The sequence below is a fragment of the Homo sapiens genome, chromosome 3 (genome assembly GCF_000001405.40).
Source record: "Homo sapiens chromosome 3, GRCh38.p14 Primary Assembly".
NCBI lineage: Eukaryota > Metazoa > Chordata > Mammalia > Primates > Hominidae > Homo > Homo sapiens.
In genome coordinates this window covers 25672101-25696561 of record NC_000003.12, presented here as the reverse complement: position 1 = coordinate 25696561, position 24461 = coordinate 25672101, and the positions used below count along the sequence as shown (strand labels likewise).

Below are 24461 nucleotides of genomic sequence, written 5' to 3'. Positions count from 1 at the left end.
TGTGTTTTCACAAGCTATAGAAGCTTTTCGATTGGAAGAAAGTCGTAGAAAATATTAGCACTGTGTTTTTGACAATGTTTAATATCTGTCGGTATTTGAGAAGAAGCAAAACAGAGACAACTGGTTGAGTGCAGTGGCTCATGCCTGTAATCCCAGGACTTTGGGAGGCAAAGGTGGGTGGATTGCTTGAGCTCAGAAGTTTGAGTCGAGCCTGGGCAACATGTTGAAACCCTGTCTCTACCAAAAAAATACAAAAATTAGCTGGACATGGTGGCTGTGTGCCTGTAGTCCCAGCTACTCCGGAGGCTGAGGTGGGAGGATTGCTTGAGCCAAGGAGGCAGAAGTTGCAGAGTTGAGATTGCGCCACCGCACTCCACTCTAGGCAGCAGAGTGAAACCCTGTCTCAAAACAAAACAAACAAACAAAAAAACAGAGACAACTTATTTTTCATCCTTTCATGTGCATAGAGCTTTAGAGTTTATAAATTTGTTCATAGGTGTTATCTCAGGGGTTGTACCAACTGTAAAGTTAGAGACACTGAGGCTTAAGCAAAAATCACTTGCTTGAAGTCATAAAATAAGTTAACAGCAAAATGGGAACTAAAATTAGTTTATGTAATTTATGGAAACACTTGCTGAGTGCATGCCAATCCTGGGGAAATGAAAATAAATATATCTTCTACTACTTCCTCCTGCCAACACCTAACACAATCTAGGTCTTCCTCTCTAAGGATTTTAACTTTCCTCTCTGCTTGGGCCAAGTAAAGAATGGTGAGCTGTGCAATCCAGAACAGAACTTTCTCCCTGGGCTTGCCAATTCCTGGGCAATGCCAATAAGGCATTAGTTGTCTGTCATTCAACAAGAAGCCTCTTGGGCAGGGGCCACAGGTTCCCTCTTCCCCCAAGTGTGCACACATACCTTCGAAGGTCCCAGAACCAGAGAGATTTTCTGTTACATCAAGGCAGAGTGGACTGGAATTCCTCCAGAAAATCTACATCACTCACATTTGGGTATTTTGGTTGTTAAATATGTATTAATAATAGTTCACCACTGATACCTAAACTGCCAACCTAGTACCTCTCAAAGCACCAAAAGTTAAGGCATCTTATTTTCTACAATTCAGCGACATTCTGTGATGATCATTCTCTCATAATAGTTTTTTCAATGTTTGTTTGTTTGAGACAAAGTGTGGCTCTATTGCCCAGGCTGGAGTGCAGTGGCGCGATCTCAGCTCACAGCAACCTCCACCTCTTGGGCCCAAACCATCCTCCCAACTTAGCCTCCCGAGTAGCTAGGACTACAAGCATGCATCACCATGACTGGTTAATTTTTGTATTTTTTTGTAGCGACGGGGTTTCACCATGTTGCCCAGGCTGATCTCAAACTCCTGGGCTCAAATGATAGGCCCGCCTCAGCCTCTCAAAGTGCTGGGATTATAATCAATGTTTTTAAAGATAAGAAAAATACTTTGCAAAATTAGAGATGACACAAACAAATAGAAAAACATTCCATGCTCCTGGATAGGAAGAATCAATATCATCAAAATGGCCATACTGCCCAAAGCAAATTATAGATTCAATGTTATTCCCATTAAAGTACCACTGACATTCTTCACAGAATTAGAAAAATTTATTTTAAAATTCATATGGAACAAAAAAAGATCCTGAATAGCCAAGGAAATCCTTCTTTTTTTTTTTTTTTTTTCTTTTTTTTTTTTGAGATGGAGTCTCACTCTGTCGCCCAAGCTGGAGTGTAGTGGCGCAATCTTGGGTCAATGCAACCTCCACCTCCCAGGTTCAAGTGATTCTCCTGCCTCAGCCTCCAGGGTAGCTGGGACTACAGGCGTGTGCCACCATGCCTGGCTAATTTTTTATATTTTTGGTAGAGACAGGGTTTCATTGTGTTAGCCAGGATAGTCTTGATCTCCTGATCTTGTGATCCACCTGCCTCAGCCCCCCAAAGTGTTGGGATTACATGTGGGAGTCACCGTGCCTGGCCTAGCCAAGGCAATCCTAAGCAAAAAGAACAAAGCTGGAGGCAACATGCTACCCAACTTCAAACAATACTACAGGGCTACAGTAACCAAAACAGCATGGTACTCGAACAAGAATAGACACATAAATCAATGGAACAGAATAGAGAACCCAGAAATAAGACTGCACAACTACAACTATCTGATCTTCAACAAGCCTGACAAAAAGGAGCAATGGGAAAAGGACTCCCTATTCAATAAATGGTGCTGGGATAACTGGCTAGCCATATGCAGAAAATTGAAACTGGACGCCTTCCTTACACCATATACAAAAATTAACTCAAGATGAATTAAAGACTTAAATGTAAAACCCAAAACTATAAAAACCCTGGAAGACAACCTAGGCAATACCATTCAGGACATAGGCACAGGCAAAGATTTTATGACGAAGATGCCAAAAGCAATTTTAATGAAAGCAAAAATTGACAAATGGGATCTTATTAAACAAAACAGTTTCTGCACAGAAAAATAAACTATCAACAGAGTAAACAGACAACCTACAGAATGGGAGAAAAATTTTGCAAACTATGCATCTGACAAAGGTCTAATATCCAGCATCTATAAGAAACTTAAAACAAATTTACAAGAAAAAAAAAGACCCGTTAAAAAGTGGCCAAAGGACATTAACAGAGACTTCTCAAAAGAAGACATACATGCAGCCAACAATTGTGTGAAAAAAAGCTCAACATCACTGATCACTAGAGAAATGCAATTCAAAAGCACAATGAGATACTGTCTCACATCAGTCAGAATGGGTATTATTAAAAAATTAAAAAATAAATAACAGACGCTGGCGAGGTTGTGGAGAAAAGGGAACACTTTTACACTGTTGCTGGGAGTGTAAATTAGTTCAACCACTGTGGAAGACAGTGTGGTGATTCCTCAAAGGCCTAAAGACAGAAATACCATTCAACCCAGCAATCGCATTACTGGGTATATACCCAATTGAATACAAATCGTTTCATTATTAAGACATATGCATGCATGTGTTCATTGCAGCACTATTCACAATAGCAAAGACATGGAATCAACCCAAACACCCACTAATGATAGACTGGATAAATAAAATGGGGCACATTTACACCATGGAATACTATACAGCCATAAAAAAGAATGAGATCATGTCCTCATGTCCTTTGCAGGAACATGGATGGAGCTGGAAGCCATTATCCTCAGCAAGCTAATGCAGAAACAGAAAATCAAATACTATGTGTTCTCACTTATAAGTGGGAGTTAAATGATGAGGACACAAGAACACATAGAGGGGAACAACACACACGGAGTCCTGTTGGAGGGTAGAAGGTGGGAGGAGGGAGGGAAGCAGGAAAAATAACGGATGGATACTGTGTGTAATACCTGGGTGATGAAATAATCTGTACAACCAACCCCATGGCACACCTTTACCTATGTAAGAAACCTGCACATCCTGCATCTGTACCCTAAACTTAAAAGTTAAAAGAAAACAACTTTCCATTCCGGTTTTGTAGAGCCCTACCATGAGGTTGAAACAACATATAGACAACATGTCTAGGATAGATGTTTTAGTTTTTAAGAGCAGGAAGTGCAGCTTTACCTTTTCTCTCTGTTTGCAGTATTCACAGCATTTTAAGCACAGAGCCCCTGATTAAATAAAAAGAGGTTTTGAAATCTTAAGGATTCAGATCATGAATGGGTTTTATTACTTTTCTCCAAAGCATAATATTAATAGATTACTGGGTTTCTCTTCCAAAATCCAAACAGCAAATAGTTTTTGTTAAACTGTGTTCTCTTCCCCCAAAAGGAAATTCTAATTAACTCAACAGATGCTGGCGAGGTTGTGGAGAAAAAGGAAGGCTTTTTCTCTAAGCAATTTTCAACCTCTGAGCAATTTAAAGATTGGGGGTTGCATTACAGTTGGTCTTAGTTTTTCTAATGTCTTTTGTTAGCCTCATAAAAAACTCCTATGGATATGAATCTTAATAGATTTCAGTTCTGTTCTATTTTCACATTCCTGCTTTTCCTGAGGGAGTAGTAATAGTTTGGTTATTGTTGGTCTGGCATGCAGCTGGAAAAAGAATGTGGAGTTTATGGGAGTAGGGGGCCTCTCTGCTTATTGCTGCTGCCAGAAATGTATATTCTGCAACTCCTAGGTTTTGTGCAAACCTTGTGCTGTAAATGGAACCATGTACCTTGATGGTTATACATGAGTCCATCAAAGTTGGACTTGGTTGCATATAACCTATTTTGTCAAGGAAGAGATAGAGAGATTATTAATATTCTGGAATACCTTCTCCCTTCCTTCCTCCTCTCACTCTTTTCAAATGGCCTCTCACCCTTGGAGAGAGTTACTTGTTTGGATGAAGAAACTGTGTTTTGAGGAATACTTTTAATGTATCTATCAGATAGCTTATTTGTCATGCCAGAGAGCAGAGGCTAGAACCCTGGCATAGTTACACATGGAATGTGTAACTTTTAAGAGAGATGTTAAGTGACAGACTCAAGATTACACAGCTAGTAAGTGTAGTAGCCACAACCAATCTCTTGACTTCTTCCTTTTCTCCAAGTCTCTCAACTTGCTCATGGCATTGTTTTCTTTCCTTCTCAGTCTAGACTCTGGGTTGAATGATTTCAGCTTCTGCCTCACTCACTCTACCAATCCCTATTCCTCAACTGGCCCATTCTCCCCTGCACTACCTGCTATTTGCCAGGCTGGTGAAAACCATGCAGTCAAGGAGACTGTCCTGCCCTACAGCCTCTTTCCACTTTGCACACTCTTCCTGGGCCATCTACCTCCATGGGATAACCTAGTAGACCTTTGCTGGCATGTCGCTAACTTTTATCTGCAGTCCAGGCTTATGTCCTGAGTTCTAGGGACATCTTTTCTCATTTAATGAAGATATTCACTTAGATATCCCAGACAGAACTCACCTACTTCTCCCTCAAATCTGTATCTTCCTCTATAGTGAAGACCCTAGGAACTTTGGAGGGAACAAAAAACCCAGGAAATCAAAAGTCAAGAACATGGAGGCCTTTGCCTCTTCCTCTCATCCAAATCTAAATAGAGCCAAGTGCATTGAAAGTTTCGGGTTGGCATTGTCTCATGCTTTCATTGGTTACTTTATGATCTAAGTCATTGTGTGCAGAAGTTCAGGGTTTCAGGATGGGACATGTTCGTTAATTTATTAGGCATCAGTGATGCCAGATACACACCTGAGATAAGGAGAGTTGTTTAACTAAATAATGGCTGTGTGTGCTGTTTTCTTTATATCCACTGGAATATCTTTTAAATTTCCTGAATAACCAGTCTCCCTGGCATTTGTACACTCCTTCTAAGCTTATGTACATGCCCCCCTTCTCTGCCCTCTACCAGGTGAATAATTTGTATTTAAAGCATTATTCTAAATGCATACCTTTTGAAAAGGGCACCACAAAAAGACAAATGATTTCATTTGGGGTCAATATGAAATAAATAGCATATTGAATAGGTAAAAATCAAATGCTTCAGTTAGAATAGAGCTACAGAATTAGATATGATTAAACCTTGCCTGAAGGGCTGAGCTGTTTGAGAAGGCTTCAACTTGTGGGGCAGGTTCCATGGTGTGACTTGGCTCTGAGTACCAAGATTGCTTAGACTTAGGGACTTCTGAGCTCAATTCCAAGGGCTTCTGAGCATGCCTTACTCCTGCCTCTGCAATTGACATGTCTTGCCATTATCTCAAATAAAAAGAACTAAATGATGATTTGGTTTTTACTTCTTCAACAAAGGTTGTTAAAAAATAAAAGTGCACCTGTTGAAGTTTGGCTTTTCTGTATTAAAGTGAAAAGAGCAACAAGCCAGGAGACAGTTTACGCTCCTATGAGCTGTGTGATCTGAACTTGTCACCTTACTTTCCCAGCTTCAGTTTCCTGTTCTGCATAATAACTTTTATACTTCATATCAAAGTTTCCTGATATAACAGAACATCCAGAAATTCATTACTTTGTGATAAATGTGTTTTCATAATACAGAAAGACCAACTATCTTACTTTAACACCTTTGTTACTTTGATTCTGAGATAATATTTTTCCCCCTGATAATGGCAAAAGGCAGACTTTTTTAAAGTTCTTGGAGGCATGTGCAGAATGTGCAGGTGATGAGATAATTCTTACATATTCTTAAAAAAAAGATCATGCCTGTAATCCCAGCACTTTGGGAGGCTGAGGCAGGTGGATCACCTGAGGTCAGGAGTTCCAGACCAGCCTAACCAGTACGGTAAAACCCTGACTCTACTAAAAATATAAAAATTAGCCGGGCATGGTGGCATGCGACTGTAGTCCCAGCTACTTGGGAGGCTGAGGCAGGAGAATCACTTGAACCTGGGAAGTGGCGGTTGCAGTGAGCTGAGATTGCACCACTGCACTCTAGCCTAGGCAAAAGAGCGAGACTGTCTCAAAAAAAAAAAAAATCCTTAAATTTGAAGTACTTTTATTACTTGTTTGCTGTGGAAAATTAATTTAAAAGCTATGGTTACAACATTATAGACTGTAAGCAATTAGCAACCAGGACCCCTTACTCAGAATAATGGTATATTTAAAACTGGAATATCGTATTGAGGTTCTCTGAACCTTAAGAAAGAGAATGAGAATTATAAGGGTCAGATGATGGAAGGGCCTTTCACTGAGATGGAGAGTATAGGGAGGAGAAGGCTAAGGAGGTGAAGTTTGGTGGATAGGAATCAAGTTAGAACATGTCATTTTCCTGCTCAAAACTCCAGTGGCTCCCATTCCACTAACTGTGAAAGCAAAGTCCTTCTCAGAGCCCACTAAACCCTTTCCCACCTACCTGGCCCCTGCTGCCTCCCAGGACTCACCTCCTATCACTGTGTCTTTCACTCCGATTGCTCCAGCCTTATTGTTTCTGGGACGCCCCAACACCCTGCTGCCTCCCAGGACTCACCTCCTATCACTGTGTCTTTCACTCCAATTGCTCCAGCCTTATTGTTTCTGGGATGCCCCAACACACTCCTGCTTCATCCTGCCTCAGGGCTTTCGCACTTGCTATTCCCTCATCCTGGAATTCTCTCCCCACCATGGCTCATTTCCTCCCTTTCTTCAGCTCCTACTCACAGGCCAGCTTATCAAAGAAGAGATCTTTCTTTTTCTTTATTTCTTCCTTTTTTTGCGAGGGGGAAAGAATCTGGCTTTGTTTTCTAAGCTGGTGTGCAGTTATGCAATCTTGGCTCCCTGCAATCTCCTCCTCCCTGGCTCAAGCCATCCTCCCACCTCAGCCTCCTGAGTAGCTGGGACCACAGGCACGCTTGGCTAACTTTTGTATTTTTTGTAGAGACTGGGGTCTCCCTACGTTGCCCAGGCTGGTCTCAAACTCCTGAGCTCAAGCCATCTGCCCACCTCAGCCTCCCCAGGTGCTGGGAATACAGGTGTGAGCCACCGCCCCCACCCCCAACCTAAAGGGGCCTTTCTTGACCATCACCAATAAAATAACACTGACCCCAGCACCTTCTCTCTCCCTTACTTACCTTTATTTTTCACATACCCTCATCACCACCTGATATCTATTTGTTTATTGTCTATATGCCTTTCCTCCATGTAAACAACAGAAGCTAGGAGAGGGGTATGCTTAATTATTACTGCATCCCCATTACCTAGCATTGGCTCATGGTAGGTGCTCAATAAACAGGTATTAAGTGAACAATGAAATCAGTTTGGGACATGCTGAATGAGAGTTGTCTCAGTTACATCTAAGTGGAGCAACACACAAGAAGTTTAGTAACAGGTTTATCAGAGATGTCTGGGCTATAGATTGGGAATCATCAGCATGTGGCATGAGAATGGATGAGATCATGCAGTAAGGAATGAGAAATGGGAAGAGCCAAAGATGCATTCCTGGGAACAAGAACCTTGAGGTACATGTAGAGGAAATAGATTCATGACGGAGACAGAAGAGCAGCAAGAAATTGAAAAACAAAACCAGAGGGGAGAGTTATTCTTAAAGCAAACTACAGAGAGGATCCAAATGAGAGAATGACAAACAGTGTCAAATGGTGCAGAGTGAGATTGGTTCCTTAGAGTAGTGTCCCCGGAATGGTGAAGGGAGATGCCAAGCTGCAGAGGTGACACTTGAATCAGAGATGAGATGGTGAGGGTAGAAGCTGGATATGAGAGGTTGAAGTTAGTTGAGGCAGTAGCAGAAACAGCTTTAAATGAAAATGGCAGATTAAATTTTTCTGTGGATGGAGTGAAAACTGGGAGGTGGAGGGAGATGGATTTAAGGATATAGATGAAAAACTGACCACAATCTGTGGCAAAGGTACTTCTCCCACTGTTGAAGAGAAGGGAAAAGGAGTGGACACAGAGGTAAGCAAGTGAGGATAGCAAAGGGAGAACTTTCTGCCTAAGCCCTCCCCTCCCCTCCCCTTCCCTTTCCTTCTTTTCTTTCTTTTTTACAGCAAAGGAAAAGGTAATGTGATTTGCCAATGATAGGGGTAAAGCAATGGATTAACTTCCAAGGAGAGGGTCAGGTTGGAAATGGCAGCCCAGGGGAATGGAATAGCATGCTGCTCAGGGAGACCTGCCTAGGGTGTTCAGAGGCACTAAGGTCAATTGCCACTCAGTTGCCACTGGAGACCATGATTTTTATAGCAGTGTTTTCTGTTAATGTTTGTCAGTTTTAATGTGCATTTGAATCATCTGGCGATCTTGTTAAAATGCAGATTCTGATTCAGTGGACCTGGGGCAGGACTGAAATTCTACAGTTCCTACAAGCTCCCAGGTGTTGCTGATGTTGTTGATCTTTGAGTAGCAGGTGATTTTTGCCATTTTCTCCAGCACCACCCAGGAGGCCTGGGGCAGAATGGAGCTGATAGAGAGTCAGGGGTCAAGTCAATAGATGGAAGTGGAAACAGGAAGTTAAGGAAGTTAAAAAGAGTAGATAAAGCTAGAAGCTGTTGATTTGAAGAGGATGGAGAAGGGCTTGAAGATTGAAGTAGGCGTCTGATGGGACAAAAGTAAAGAACTTAGAGAACTGAAGGTAGGTAGGAGTTGTCAGATATGCTTGGCAAGACAGGTTAAAAGCAACTGATGCAGTTTGTAATGGCTGAAACAGAAATTCAGCTACCTAATAATGGCATATAAATAACATGATAGTAAAAATACAACCTACATTCACTTTATAGTCTTCCTAAACACAAAAAATTTAAACTGGGTGCATTAAAATTCTTATCTTCTTTCTTTTTAATTAAATGTCTTTTGTTCCTGTTATCTTCCCTCTAGATTTTAAATTTCCTTTTTTTTTTTCCCCCAAGTGTTCATGTTTATTGAGGGCACTAGGGGCCACAAAGGAGCCCTGGGCATCTGGGGGCGAGGCCTGGCATTTGCCTGGACAGTGGCCCAGCGAGCGGCCAAGGATGAGGTCTCCACCACCCGATTTACTTGAAAGTGTGGCTGTCGGCTTCACCCCGGCCAGAGCCTTTTTGCCCAAACATGGCGGCATAGCAAGTGGTTGCAGTAGGGCTTGCTTTCGTGCTCAGCGTGGCCCTCGGAGGTCAGCGTCTTCCCACATTCTCGCACTTCAGGCAGGGCCGAGGCAAGTCCTTGCCCAGAGAGGTCACCCTCTCGGCGAAGTAAACTTCCTTGTCGCACTTGGGGCACTTGGGCATGGCGGCTCCGGGTCCGGTGCTGGCGGCGGCGGCTGGGGCGGGACGGGCTACAGGTGTGAGACTAAATTTTAAATTTCTACTAGGTAAAGATTTTACTTTGGGATTAACATTTACACAGCTTTATATTGCACAGGGAGCTTGGCTGATCAACATATTTAAGTGCTTTTCTTCTGAACTAGTATATGAACTTTTCTCATCCATAAATCTAATCATTTTTTGTCAGGAAAATCTATTATCATCTTTCTCATTAAAACAGTGTAATGCCATTATTTCACAGTTTATTTTTCTTTCGAATAGGGCATCACCCGCATTCTTAGAAACATAACTCTGTTGAGTAAAAGACTGAAATAATGTGGCAATCCTGTAGTCTAGCACCTGTCCAATTATGTTGTACTTATAACAAGATTCATTCATATTTGAATGGATCATTATTAATCTTTAGGAAGTGGTGCTGTATGATGGGAATATAAAAGGGCATAAGATAGGATCCCTTCTCTTGGCTGTGTTCAAAGACTGAGATATACATGTGTAAAGTCTTAGGAAATAATAACATCAGGCAGTATTTTAGTTAAATCCCAGAATAAATGATATGAAGAGTTTAAAGGCAGTTTGAAAGGAAAAGTAAGTACAGGTAATTAAAAGCAAAAGCCATTACCAGATTTTTTTTTTTAACTTTAGGATCAATTAAAGGCATAATTTTCAATTAGTGTTAATTCTAACTGTCTTGAGTGCTAGATTCTCTCAAACCTGAAATCAATATTATTAGCAGTTGTTATTAGCCAACACTAAACTGGAACAATTTAACTAGCACTTAAAATCATTATAAAATATTCTAGACAAGCAAAAAGGCATAAAGGATAGATAATAAGTACAAAATAATTTTTCATTGATATTTGCCAGTCTTCAGCCTAGCAGATACTCAGCAAATGTTTGCTGAATGAATAAATGATTCTCATTTATTATTAAATGCCTTGTCTCCATATTTATAATATCCTTGGAGCCAAGGACATTTGTCTTCCTTTCCATGGTGCCTATAAAATGATGGTTATGTGGTTGGTGTTCAATAAATACTTGTAGGTTGGTTTATTTAAGGCCTAGACTCCCTGTTTGTAGCTCTCTTTAAACTTGAACCCTAACTCATAGCTCTTTTTAACCTGATATTTAGCCTAATTGAAATTACTTTAATTGTTATACATTGTTGATGAAATATACCTCTACAACTCTAAGAAGAGCTAGAAATTTAAACTATAGCTTTTATTTTGTTTTTTACATCCTAACGTCTTTTTCTTTTTTTTTTTTTTACTAAAAATAGGACATTGTGTGACTTCATGTTGTTGCTTTAAAAAAAATACAGGACATTGCTTAAAGTCCTGATTTGTAATTACAGTAAGAGTAAGTCAAAATCTTATATTGCAAAATAGCTAAGCATAGATTTTTTTCTTTTTTCAAAAATGAACTCAGCTTCAATTTTAAGAGTCCTCCTGTGACTACCAGGGATTCAGCTCCATAAAATCCCATAAAATCTCTTCTATAAAATGATTCCATCCCTGCTGTGTGCATTTATTTTCTGCTTCTTCCTCTAGTTCACTGTTTTAATGTGGGGTTCAAGGACTACTTGCATTGAAATTGTCTGTACTGCTTGTTGTATAGATTCTTGACCCTCCTCTCAAGTCCTTCTATATCCCAACCAGGGCAGTGAGGGTGGCAGCTTGTCACCCACATTTTTTTCTCCAGATGCTTCTTAAAGAAGCTAAATTTGAATACATTGTTACTGCTATTTTCTTAGCTGTGGTTCTCTTGTTCAACTTCCAGCTCTGGATTGGCTTTATATTTCTGTTTCTATTCTTCATCTTCCATACCCTACCCCTGCTTCCAACTTTGGCACTTCGCTAACAACTCTCTTCTCTCAGTCATGGTCTCATGCTCTACCTGCTAACATGGAAATTTGGGAGTAGCCACTGTTACAAGATTGCTTTCCCTCCTCACTTTAGTCTCTGTAGCCATAGTCACCAGAGACGCTAAAAACCATTCTATTTGGTGTGTGTAGTGCGATAGATCAGTGCTACTCACAGGAGACTATGAATGAGATAAGCTTGTGCTTGGATAAGCAGCACACTTTCTTTTCAAGAAAGTCTTGTTACATTTTTATAGTGGTGCAAGCTCCTTAGCGCTTTGTGGACCAATAACCCATGGTCCATGGAAGCAACCATTCCACTGAGCACATTTTGAGGCCTGTGCTACAGATTTTTGGGGGAAATGGCTTCACTGAGATATAATTAATATACCATAAAATTCACCCATTTCAAGGTTACACAAAGTATATTCAAAGAGTTGTGCAACCCTCACCACAGTCAATTTTAGAACATTTTCATCACCTTGAAAAGAAACCCTGTGCCCTTAAGCTGTCACTCCCAATCCTCCAATCCTGTCCTCCCCCAGGCTTAATAAATCACTAATATACTGTCTGTCTATATTTGCCTCTTCTGGATATTTCATATAAATGAAATCATATAATATGTGATCTTTCATGGCTGGCTTCTTTCATTTTAGCATGTTTTCAAAATTTGTCCATATTGTAGCTTGTAATAGTATTTCATTCATTTGATGGCCAAATAATATCCCATTACGTAGATATACCACATTTTGTTTATTCATTCATCCATTGATGGGTATTTGGATTGTTTCCACCTTTTGGATACTGTGAATAATACTGCTATGAACATCCACGTACAAGCTTTTTTTGTGAGCATATGTTTTCACTTCTCTTGGGTATACAGCTAGAAGTGAAATTGCTGAGTCAAATGATGGTTCTGCATTGAAATTTCTGAGGAACTGTCAAACTTTTCCACCATTTTACATGCCTACCAGCAGTGTATGAGTGTTCTTCACTCCACTTTCTGGCCAACATTTACTAGCCTCCATGTCTTTGGTTATAGCCATTTTACAGGTGTGAAGTGGAAGCTCATTGTGATTTTCATTTGTGTTTCCCTGATGACTATTGATATAGAGCATCTTTTCATGCATTTATTGGCTATTTGTATATCTTCTTTGGAGAAATGTCAATTCAGATTTTTTAATTGAGTTACTTGTTTTATTATTGGGGATTGTAAGAGTTTTTCACTGAAAACAAGTCCATTAGATATGATTTGCAAATATTTTCTCCCATTCCATGGGTTGTCTTTTCACTCTCTTAATGGTATCCTTTGCAGCACAAAAGCTTAATTTTGATAAAGTCCAATTTATTTATTTTTACTGAGGCTCATGGGTTTGGTGTTTAAGAATTTATTGCGAAATCCAAGTTCATAAATATTTATCCCTATATTTTTATCTGAGAGTTTTATAGTTTTGACTCTCCCATTAAGGCCTTTGATCCATTTGGGATTAATTTTTGTATATAATGTGAAGTAAGGGTCCAACTTTAGTCTTTTGCATGTGGCTATCCAGTTGTTTCAGCACCATTTGTTGAAAAGACTATTCTTTCCCTATTGAATGATCTTGGCACCCTGGTTGAAAATCATTTGACTGTAGATATATGGGTTTATTTCTGGACTCTCAATTCTATTCCATTGACTTATATGTCTATTCTTATGCCAGTTCCTTACTGTCTTCATTACTGTGGCTTTCTAGTAAGTTTCCAAATTGGGAAGTATTGATCTTTTTTTTTTTTCTTTTTGAGACGGAGTCTCGCTCTGTCGCCCAGGCCGGAGTGCAGTGGCGCAATCTTGGCTCACTGCAAGCTCCGCCTCCTGGGTTCACGCCATTCTCCTGCCTCAGCCTCCCCAGTGGCTGGGACTACAGGCGCCCGCCACCACGCCCAGCTATTTTTTCGTATTTTTAGTAGAGACGGGGTTTCACTGTGTTAGCCAGGATGGTCTCGATCTCCTAAGCTCGTGATCCACCCGTATCGGCCTCCCAAAATGCTGGGATTACAGGCATGAGCCACCGCGCCCGGCCTGATGTTTCAATTTTATTCTTCTATTAGAAGATTGTGTTGGTTATTCTGAGTCTCCTGAGTTTCATGAGTCTTAGAATTGGCTTGTCCTGTTCTACAAAGCCAGCTAGAATTCTGCTAGGGGTTGATTTGAATTTGTAGATCAATTTGGGGAGTATGGTCATCTTAACAATATTGCCTTTCAATCCGTGAACATTGGACATCTTCCCATTATTTCGATCTTTAATTTCTCTCAACAATGCTTTGTGGTTTGAGTACAAGTTTTGCACTTCATTTGTTAAACTTACTCTGAGTATTTTATTCTTTTTGATGCTATTGTAAAAATGGTTTTTTTTTAAATTTCATTTTTGGATTATGTATTTATAATTTTTACTCCTTAGGGACATTTAGAGAAAAATAAAACTGTTGCAGGGAAAACTTGGCTGATGGCCTGTCAGCCAGCATTTCTCATTCTTTGAGATTCTATGTAGAGAAAAAAGTGTTCTGTGGTCAAATAATTTTGGGGAATGCTGTATAACATGTTTATGATACCCATAAACATATAGAAAGGCCTGAGAAGTCAGCACCTTAAACCTTTAAATCCTGTGAAAGCAAAGCCCTTCCTTCATCTACTTTGAATTACTTAATCTTGAATGCAAATGAATTTTAGATCCTTCTTAATGTGATGAAATATAGAACTTATGCGACTGAGGTCTTGAAAGGCAAAGTTAATATACTTCATAATTTTGCCTAGAGTAGATATTAATGGTTGGCCATGATGTTTATTGTAAAATGTACTTAAAGTGCCAGTGAAAATAGTTCTTTTTGAAAGTACCATTTAAATTCAACCAGCAGCCTGGCACAGTGGCACATGCCTGTAGTGCCAGCTACTCAGGAGGCTGAGACTGGAGTTCAAGGTTACCATGTACTATGATCATGCCTGTAAATCGTCACTGCACTTCAGCCCGGGCAATATAGTAAGACCCCATTGCTAAAAATTAAAAAAAAAAACAACCCTGTAAACTACTGTCTTTTTTTCAATTTTTTCTTTGAATCAAGTGTCTTAAATGAAAGTTTCCTAACTGTTTATAACAGTATAATGATGAGTAGGATGTTTAGGAGTGAAGAAATGGGGCTTGAAGGAGCTATTAGATAAATAAGCTTACAGTACTTTTAAGATTAGGTGAGGTATAAAAAAGGAGCATGGCCTGAGGAGTTGAACACACCTCAATTTGAATCCTAGCTCTGTGTGTTTGACTTAAGTGATAGTGCACATATCTCATGGTTTTTCTGAACCTCAGTTTCCTCACTTTAAAATAGTTTTAACAGCTACATGACTTTATAAAATATACAACTTCATTCTCTAAAGAACAGATATAGTATTTATAATTCCATTTTTGCATAGGCTTTGCCTGTGTCCCTCGGTCCAGCCCTGGAGACTTGTGTCTGATTTAAAGAAACACCGGAGATTCAATTCTGGGGGCAGCTTAGAGGTTTGCATAAATGGAGTAGATTCAAGAGTTCCACCTATCTGAAATATACCCAAAGCTGGGCCAAAGCAAAATTTGGAATCACATGAAGTTTACCTGCACTGTTCCCTCAACTCTTATTTCTGTCTTCTTTCCCTCTAATGCAGTTTTTCCTTTCTGAAACGATCTGTTGTGACAAAACCAACTTCCTGGAAATGTAATATCAAATAAAATCAATATCAAATCAAATACAATTGAATCAACAAGTTACCTGTAGCAGTGATATTTTCAGTTTTCTGTCCTCTCTAAATATGAAATGAAAGGCATTATTTCTAGTTAGAAAAATTTTGAAACTTTGTCGTGGATGGAAGTGAGAAGGTATGGAATTCTATTTTGAATAGGTGATTCTTTCTGAAGGATTCTGATTTTATTTGGTTTGCTTGATGATTGATTCTATTACACCTTTTGCATGTGATTTTAGATCACCTTGGGGTTTTTTATGCTTTCTTGGTTTTAGCTCTGGTGTTAGGAAGCTAGGGTAGGAGAAGGAAGGACAATAGCTAGTTACAAGGAGACTGAGCAGACAGATGGAAGATAATAGAATTCAGGTCCAATAATAAGGCATACAAATGTGGCTACTTGCCTTGGTTATTACAATTTCTAGAAGGTTTTTGTTGTTGTTGTTGTTGTTGTACTGGAGATAACAACTTCCCAATCACATCTGTTGACATGAAAATGGAAAATAGAATTATAGCTGGCCGGGCACCGTGGCTCACGCCTGTAATCCCAGTACTTTGGGAGGCGGAGGCAGGCGGATCATGAGGTCAGGAGATCGAGACCATCCTGGCTAACACGGTGAAACCTCGTCTCTACTAAAAATACAAAAAATTAGCCGGGCATGGTGGCGGGTGCCTGTAGTCCCAGCTACTCTGGAGGCTGAGGCAGGAGAATGGTGTGAACCCGGGAGGCGGAGCTTGCAGGGAGCCGAGATAGCGCCACTGCACTCCAGCCTGGGGGACAGAGCGAGACTCCGCCTCAAAAAAAAAAAAAAAAAAAAAAAAAGAATTAGAGCAAGTTACTGGGGTCTATGGCAGGTTTTTTTTGTTTTTTTGTTTTTTTAATTCTTAACCTTCCTATTATTTGAGTTTATTAGCAAATGATTTTGTGACTTGTTCTAAACTGATGAATAAAATTTAGCATACACCAATCAAGGGGTAGAACAAGGGAACTTCAGAAATGAAAACAAATCAGTTCACGAAGAATTCACCCTGTCTGTGTACAGGAGACTTTTAAGGGCTAGAGAAAATCTATATATCTCTTCTTCAGGAGGACTGAAATGAACAGTCAGCTCATTCAGAGTCTGCACAGTCCCAACTCTCAGATATTACTTTTGTTGGGACCGAAGGCTCAGCTCTCTCCAATGGCAAGAGATGCTGGATGACTGAGATTAGGTGAAACAATAGTCTCCTAGAAGCATGACTTCTTCTCCCATGACCTTTGAAGAGGCTGCTCTAATAAAAGGGTAAAATAATTTTTTAAACAGCAAAAGGCATTTTTGCCATTACCCAAATCAAGCACAAAATGGATCTAGTCACCTCTCTCCTCCTCTCGCTCCTCTATCCTGTCACCCCCCAACTCCTATCTCCTCTCTCCCTGGCCCCTCTCTTCTCTTCCCCTGTCCTGCTGCTCTCTCTCCAACCCCCACTCTTTTCTCCCCTCTCTTCCCCCTTCCCCCTCCTCTCTCCCCCTCCTCTCTCCCCCTCCTCTCTCCCCCTCCTCTGTACTCCCCCTCCTCTGTACTCCCCCTTTCCCTTCGCCCTCCCCCTTTCCCCTCGCCCTCCCCCTTTCCCCTCGCCCTTCCCCTTTCCCCTCGCCCTCCCCCTTTCCCCTCGCCCTCCCCCTTTCCCCTCCCCCTTTCCCCTCGCCCTCCGCCTTTCCCCTCGCCCTCCCCTTTTCCCCTCCCCCTTTCCCCTCCTCACTTTCCCCGCCCCACTTTCCCCTCCCCCTCCCCCACTTTACCCCTCCCCCTCCCCCACTCTCTCTTGTAATTGTTAAACTAGAATATTTGATTTTTGAGCCCTACTGGTAAACAATGGAGGCTCTCATTCAGGGATTTAGGGCTGTTGAAAGAAGCCTGGTTGTATTCATTCTTTCAGAAGCTAACAGTGTGGGTAAAATATGAAATGTTTGCTATCAAGTTAAAGAAAAAAAAGGTTCTCAAAACAAACTGTGAAGGGCCAATGCAATTCACTGGTCATATTTTTCAAATTATTACTCTTATATTCAAATAACAGGAAGATTAAAAAAACATAGAAATATTTAGCTAGAAGGGAATACCAAATCTAAATCCCTTTCATTTTATAGAGACCCAGATAAATTATACTTTGAAATAATTTTTTAACAAAGTCTGTAAAAATTGAGGCCAAGGAATTAAAAACTGCTGTGAAAAATTTCATTTGAGGTTACTGGAGACAAATGAACAAACAAGAAATGTAATGTGAAAAAGACGAGTGGAAGATAGTTTAATTAAAAGCAAGAATTGTACAGCATGACAAATTCCTGGGAGAAATTCATGACCAAGGTAATAGTGAAACACTTCAACCTTTTACTATATTCTGTATTATCAGATGTCCACAATCAAGTGAAGCAATCATTATGTGGTTGTCAGAGACCTCCTGGGAAGGGTCAGCTCAGCTATTACAAAGATCACCACTGGTAAAATAACAAGGCAGTGAATTTATGGATGATGTGTTCAGGGAAACAGATTTTAAAAAGACAGCCAAGAAATTGTGGTTGCCTGGACTTAATATTAGAATCACTGGGAATTTTTGTACTTAGAGCTCTACTAGCAACCACTCTTATTCATCAGGAGAAATATTTTCATTTACCAGGTGTGAAAATTAAAAAACAAAATGGAAACAAGGAATCAATTGTAATATATCTTCTGTGAGGCTTACAATAACTGTGATCCACATTATTTTATTTTTCTGGTGGTGAAAGAAAAGAATATATTGTAGTAGGCAAGTTGGTTTAATTTCTAAGACTTGGTCCCTGATTTTTCCCTTTTGTAAGAATGAGACAATATTAAGAATATTAGAGCAAACAAAATAGAAAATTCCAGGCCGGGTGTGGTGGCTCACATCTGTAATCCCAGCATTTTGGGAGGCCAAGGCAGGCAGATCATTTGAAGTCAGGAGTTCGAGACCAGCCTGGCCAACATGGTGAAAACCCGCTCTACTCAAAATAGAAAAAATTAGCTGGGTGTGATGGCTCGTGCCTGTAATCCCAGCCACTTGGGAGGCTGAGGCAGAAGAATCTCTTGAACCCGGAGGTGGAGGCTGCAGTGAGCTGAGAATGCACCCCTGGACTCCAGCCTGGGCGACAGAGCAAGACTCTGTCTCAAAAGAAAAAAAACCAGAAACCAAAACAAACCAAAACTCCACATGTACTCGTAACCTGCTCCTGCTTAAAAATTTCTTCAAGAGTTTGCCATTGTGTATTTCTGCATGTATGTTAGTTTGTTTGGTCCAAAGATTAAAACCCCTAATTTGACCCAATAGGCCCTGTTTCATTTGACTTTGGTCATCTTCTCTTCCAGCAGTAGTTGTCTTCTGTCACTTCAACTACACCATGCTCCAACAAGCCTGAGAGTGTCATACATGCAACTTGCTATTCTTGAGATGTTAACTCATACATCCTCAGAGCTTAACATAATTTTCTCAGGAAAGCCTCCAACCTCCTGCTTCATTGTTTTTCCCCACCAATCACAATGATTTATTTATGCAAGTAGTTATTTAATGCCTTTTTTCCACATGCTTCATAGAGGTGTGCTCTAGGTCTCTCTAGTTTACTTCTACATCTGTAGCACCTGGTGCCCCATATGACACATGGTAGGTGTTTAATAAGTATTTGTGGAATGAATTAACAGACACAAAAGACCTTAAATACCTGGTGCATAGCAAGTAATCGATATTAACAGCTGTGTTAATTTGGCTTTTGTTTCACTCTCCCTCTGTTGCTTGCCTCGTTTGACCAGCAATTGGAGTATGAGGAACTAATGGTGTGCTATTGTGTGGAACAGGAGCTTGATACACATGTATATTTATTAAAGATGAAGATGATAGCAAAGCTGCCTGCCCATGAACCTCTGCAACTCTGACCTTGGACCTGTTATCACTATAAACTGGGTTAGCGCTCAGGGCACTTTGTCATAGTTAAACATATTAACTGTGGTGATACTACACTGGCTTTCTGTTTGGAAATTTTGGAGTTTTCTATTTACTTAAATGTTTATTACAAAGGACTTGTTCTGCTATGGGTACTTTTAGAAAGCAGAGAAGTTTTAACTCTTAGCTGTGTCAGAAGCTAAAGGATGTTTGTCAGAGCTAAGATACTTTAACATTTGTTCTTATCGTCAAGTACTGATATTTACCATTCTTACTATCACCTTTGGAGTGGTCTCTACACCTGCTGGGTAGTAAAATGAGAGAACTGGAAAGGAGATTAAACTCATAAACTCTGGAGGAGACAGAACTGGGTTCAAATTTCACTTCTACCACTTACAGCAGTGGGACTTTGGGCTGATCAACCTTTCTAGCCTCAGTTTTCTCATCTGTAATATGTGGTTTATAATAAATAATACCAAGATGTTCATCAAATCCCTTTTATATTGTTGAAAATAACAACACACATATCCTTCTACAACAGTGGTTCTTGACGGTGGTGCGAGAGAAGGCTTTTGTTTCTCAAAGGACAAAATGTCTGGAGACATTTTTGTTTGTCACAATGGGGATGGTGGTAGCAGTGGTGATACGTTACTGGTTTCTAATGGGCAGAGGCCAGGAATGCTGGTGAACATCCCACAATATATAGGACAGGTCTTTAAAAAATTACCCAGTCCGAAAAGTCAATAGTGCTCTTAGTTGAGAGCCTGTTCATAGTGAGCTTGAGAAATCCCTTTTAAAGTAAAATGGCAAACTAATCACTGCAGTTATTATAAGAATGAGAGCGATCTACATGCAGACATAGAAAAGATTTCAAGGACAGCCAGTTAAAATAACTAAAGCAACACACAGAACAGTATTTATAATATGGTCCCATTAATTACTCATCTCTTTTCTGTGTGCATGTGTGTGTTTCTACATACATATAAAGGATCTGGAAGGAAACCTACCTACTTGTTAACCAGAGACATCAATAGGGAAAGCAGATTTTAAAGAAGTGTTTGCAAGTTTTACTGGACATAGTTTTTTTATTGTGTTTTTTCAACCAGAAGGTATTATATTTATAATTTTGAAAAATTTTAAAAATAAATTCGTATTTCATACAGCTGTTATGAATATTAAAGTAGATAATGCAAGCAATATGTTAACCCAGTGCCCATATAATAGGAGCCAATAAATGTTATTGTTTGTCATAAAAATTCTATACTTCTGAAAATTGAGTTTTGGAGGTAAAGGTTTACAGGTAAACATGGTAATTACAAGATTTCATTAATGAACCTGCATAGCTTCAGATGGGATAGTATTCATTTTTCCATCACATATGAGTTTTCTTTTGTGCTTACTGAAAGAACTATTTCATTTTATATCATTTTGTGCACACATCAAAAGCAAAACCAAAGTGAAAAACACTGGTAAGAGTATTCCTACCACTTTATATCCAGAGTGTGAATCTTCTGAATCACTGATGGACTCAGAGGCATTAATGATCTTGTTTTTCTATACACTCTTATTTTTGTCAAGTGTTGGAGATATAGCATTTTTTGGGTAAACTTTTTATTAAAATAATGAAAAGTATAAAATTCGAAAGTGTGTAGCTGAGTGAATTCTCGAAATATATATTCACCACCTAATTCAGCAAATAAAAATTATTAGCACCCAGAGTCTCCCTCCCACAGGTAACTACATCTTGACTTATAATATTATAGATTAGTTTTATCTGTTTTAAAATTTTATATAAAAATGCCGGCCACGGTAGCTCACACCTGTAATCCTAGCACTGTGGGAGGCTGAGGTGGGTAGATCACCTGAGGTGAAGAGTTTGAGACTAGCCTGGCCAACATGGTGAAACCTTGTCTCTACTAAAAATACAAAAATTAGCTGGGCATGGTGGCGGGTGCCTGTAATCACAGCTACTCAGGAGACTGAGGCAGGAGAATCGCCTGAACCCTGGAGGTAGGGGTTGCAGTGAGCCAAGATCATGCCATTGCACTCCAGCCTGGGCAACAGAGCAAAAACTCTCTCTCAAAAAAATAATATATATATATATATATATATATATATATATATATATATATATATATATATAAAATAATATTTTATATGAAGGGAATCATATAGTATGTGTTCTTTTATGTTTGACTTTAGGTTGATACTGTATTTATGAGGCTCATACATGTTAAGTGTAGTGGTAGATCACTCATTTTTATTGCTGACCAATATTCATTGTACACACATAAAATATAGCCATTCTATCACTGATGGATATTTGGATTGTTTCTAGTTTGGGGCTGCCATGAAGTGTTGCTATATATGTTCTTGTGTGTGTCTTGGTACATAAGTATGCATTTCTATTTGTATATACCTATTGATGGCAGCAGTGGGCCATCTGGAGCAGCCACTGCCGTCATGCTGGCCCCAGTGGGGAGGTGCAGGTGGTGGCAGCAGGAGTGGCTGCAGGAGCAGCAGTGGCAGTGGTGGGACCTCTGTGCCCCACATCCCCAAGGCAGCTGACTATACCACCCCCACCCTCACATGGCTGGGCAGGACCCACTCCAGGCCTGGAGCCTCTGCTGCAGCCTCAACCTCGCTCCTTGCTGTGTCTTGGGAGCCCTCAAGCACCCGGCTGAAGGCGCAGCCGGGACTTACGGAGCCAGCGCTGAGAGCATCGAATTTGTTTGTGTGCGGTTGGCCAGGGTGTGGCATCACCTGCACCTCACCTGCTGTTGCTGTGGGGAAAATGTGGCCAGGGCTGTGCACTCCATGGAGCCAGTGGGAGCCATGGACAAGTGGGAGCCTTGCTCCTTCTAAGATGGTGGTGAGGGAGCTCATCAGGCACAACTGCAGCCACCCAAGTTGTGGCTACAACCTGGGAACCCCTGTGCTCTTGGGAACCAGAAGCAGGCAGAAGCCCTGCCCTCCCAGGCACAGCTGCAGCCACTCAAGCCGTGGCTGTAGACTGAGGCATCCCTGTACTCTCAGGGACCCAGGAAGGCCCTCCTTTTATGCCCCCCAGGCTTGGAAGTACCTGCTCCTACTCTCTGGCTTATCCCAACTTTTGGCACCTGCTCTGATCACAGCGAAAAGTTGAGGCTGAGCCCGGGCACTGTCGCAGCCTGGCTGGGTGTGTGCATGCTCAAGGCAGTGCTGACATGCCAGCCCCCTGATGCCTCAGCCCCCTCTGGATTTTGGGTGCCAACAAGTGTGGGAGGGAGGCCAGGGGTTGCTGAGGGTGGCTTGGTGCTGGCCTGAAGGCGCCCCCTCAGCACAATCAGCCTTGGTGCCGTGAACAGCAGCAGGAGGCAGACAGGCTACTTGGTGAAAACAAGTAGGTCCCTGGTGAAGCCCCACCTTCAAGCCAGGGAAGGCCTGGAGCCTGGGGGCCGAGCTGCTGATCCTGTGGACCAGAGTGGGAACTTGTGCTTTTTCCAGGCCTGCCAATGGCTGCCCGTGGACCAGTTGGCATGAACTTCCTCCCCTCTAATGCCCATAAAAGCCCCATACTCAGCCGGACCCAAAGAGATAATGGGATGACCAGCTGCAGAGAGGAGTCACCCTCTCTGCTGAGAGCTGAAGAGACAATGGGACCATCAGCTGCAGAGAAGAGCTACCCTCTCTGCTGAGAGCTGAACACTCAGTCGGAACAACCTGCCTGCAGAGAGGAGTTATCATCTCTAAGAGCTGAACACTCATCCAGACATGCTGGCTACAGGGAGGAACTACCCACTGCAAGTCTCTTCTGAGTTGTTCTATCGCTCATGAAGGCTCCTCTTCATCTTGCTCACCTTCCACTTGTCTGCATACCTCATTCTTCTTGGATGTTGGAAAAGAACTTGGGACCTGTCAAATGGGGGGCTAAAAGAGCTACAACACAAAGAGGGCTGAAACATGCCCCTTGCTTGCCACATTGTGAGCAACAAGGAGAGAAAAGAGAAGGAGACAAGAGCTGTGGCCCTTCAGGGACCCCAGACCTAGGAGCTCCCTGAGCCAGGGCTGTAATACCCTCTTTAGGGCTCTGCCTGGTGTTTCCAAGTTTCTGGGTACCACTGTGTTCCCTGGTGCCAGTCATGGAAGCTGCTTGTGGTAGGCCTGGTCCAGCTGCAGCCTTGCAGGGAGACAGCACCCTTGCTGGCACCTGGGGGCGGCCTGCTCTGCCACAGCCAGCAAGCCTGGCTGTGTGCAGTGGCCGGACCCCCATGCTTGCTTACACACCCCCTGCCACTCCATGCCTGGCTCACCCTTGGCAGGCATAAGATCCAGGCCAGTAGTGTGAGCTGGGTGCAGCCTGCCAGGCCAAGTGGGCAGAACAAGCCCAGTGGGCCAGAGCAAAACTCAGGCAAAGGCACCACTGACCACAGAGGTTTCCGGCTGGTGAAGCGACACCCCAAGGATCCCATAACACTGTGAGTTAAATTTCTGATTCATAAGATATGTAAATGTTTAGCTTTAGCACACACTGAGAGACAGTTATCCAAAGTGGTTTAATAGATACTGAGAAAGAGTTTTCCAAAGTGGTATCCAGTGGTAAGATCCATAATACTAACAGCGTATGAGAGTCTGTGTTGCTCTATGTTCTCATTAACATTTGGTATAGTCAGTCTTTTAAATTTTTGCTATTCTAATGGGATAGCATTCTTTTTTAATTTTAAATGACTTATTAGAGCCTACCGTTTTCTTTTTTTAAAGTAAAAGTTTTTGAGAATTTGCAAAAGGAGTAGAAAGATATTCACCAAACTGTTAACAGTAATTACCTGAATGGCAGAATTGTGGGTCAATTTGTTCTTTGCTTTTTCTTTCAACCAGAGATATAGTTGCTAAACATATAAATTAACATGTTTTATTTATGTATTTATTTATTTATTTAAGACAGTCTTGCTCTGTTACCCAGGCTGGAGTGCAGTGGTGCAATCTCAGCTCACTGCAACCTCCACCTCCCAGGTTCAAGCAATTCTCGTGCCTTAGCCTCCCAAGTAGCTGGGATTACAGGCACCTGCCACCACACCCGGCTAATTTTTGTATTTTTAGTAGAAATGGGGTTTCGCCATGTTGGCCAGGCAGGTCTTAAACTCCTGACCTCAAGTGATTCATCCACCTCAGCCTCCCGAAGTGCTGGGATTACAGGCGTGAGCCACTGTGCCCAGGCAGCATGTTCTAATAACAAAAATAAAAAGTGGC

General features: G+C 41.2%; 1 pseudogene; it reads right to left on the bottom strand.

Moving 5' to 3' along the window:
- On the bottom strand, positions 9301 to 9727 carry CRIP1P2 (cysteine rich protein 1 pseudogene 2; annotated as a pseudogene).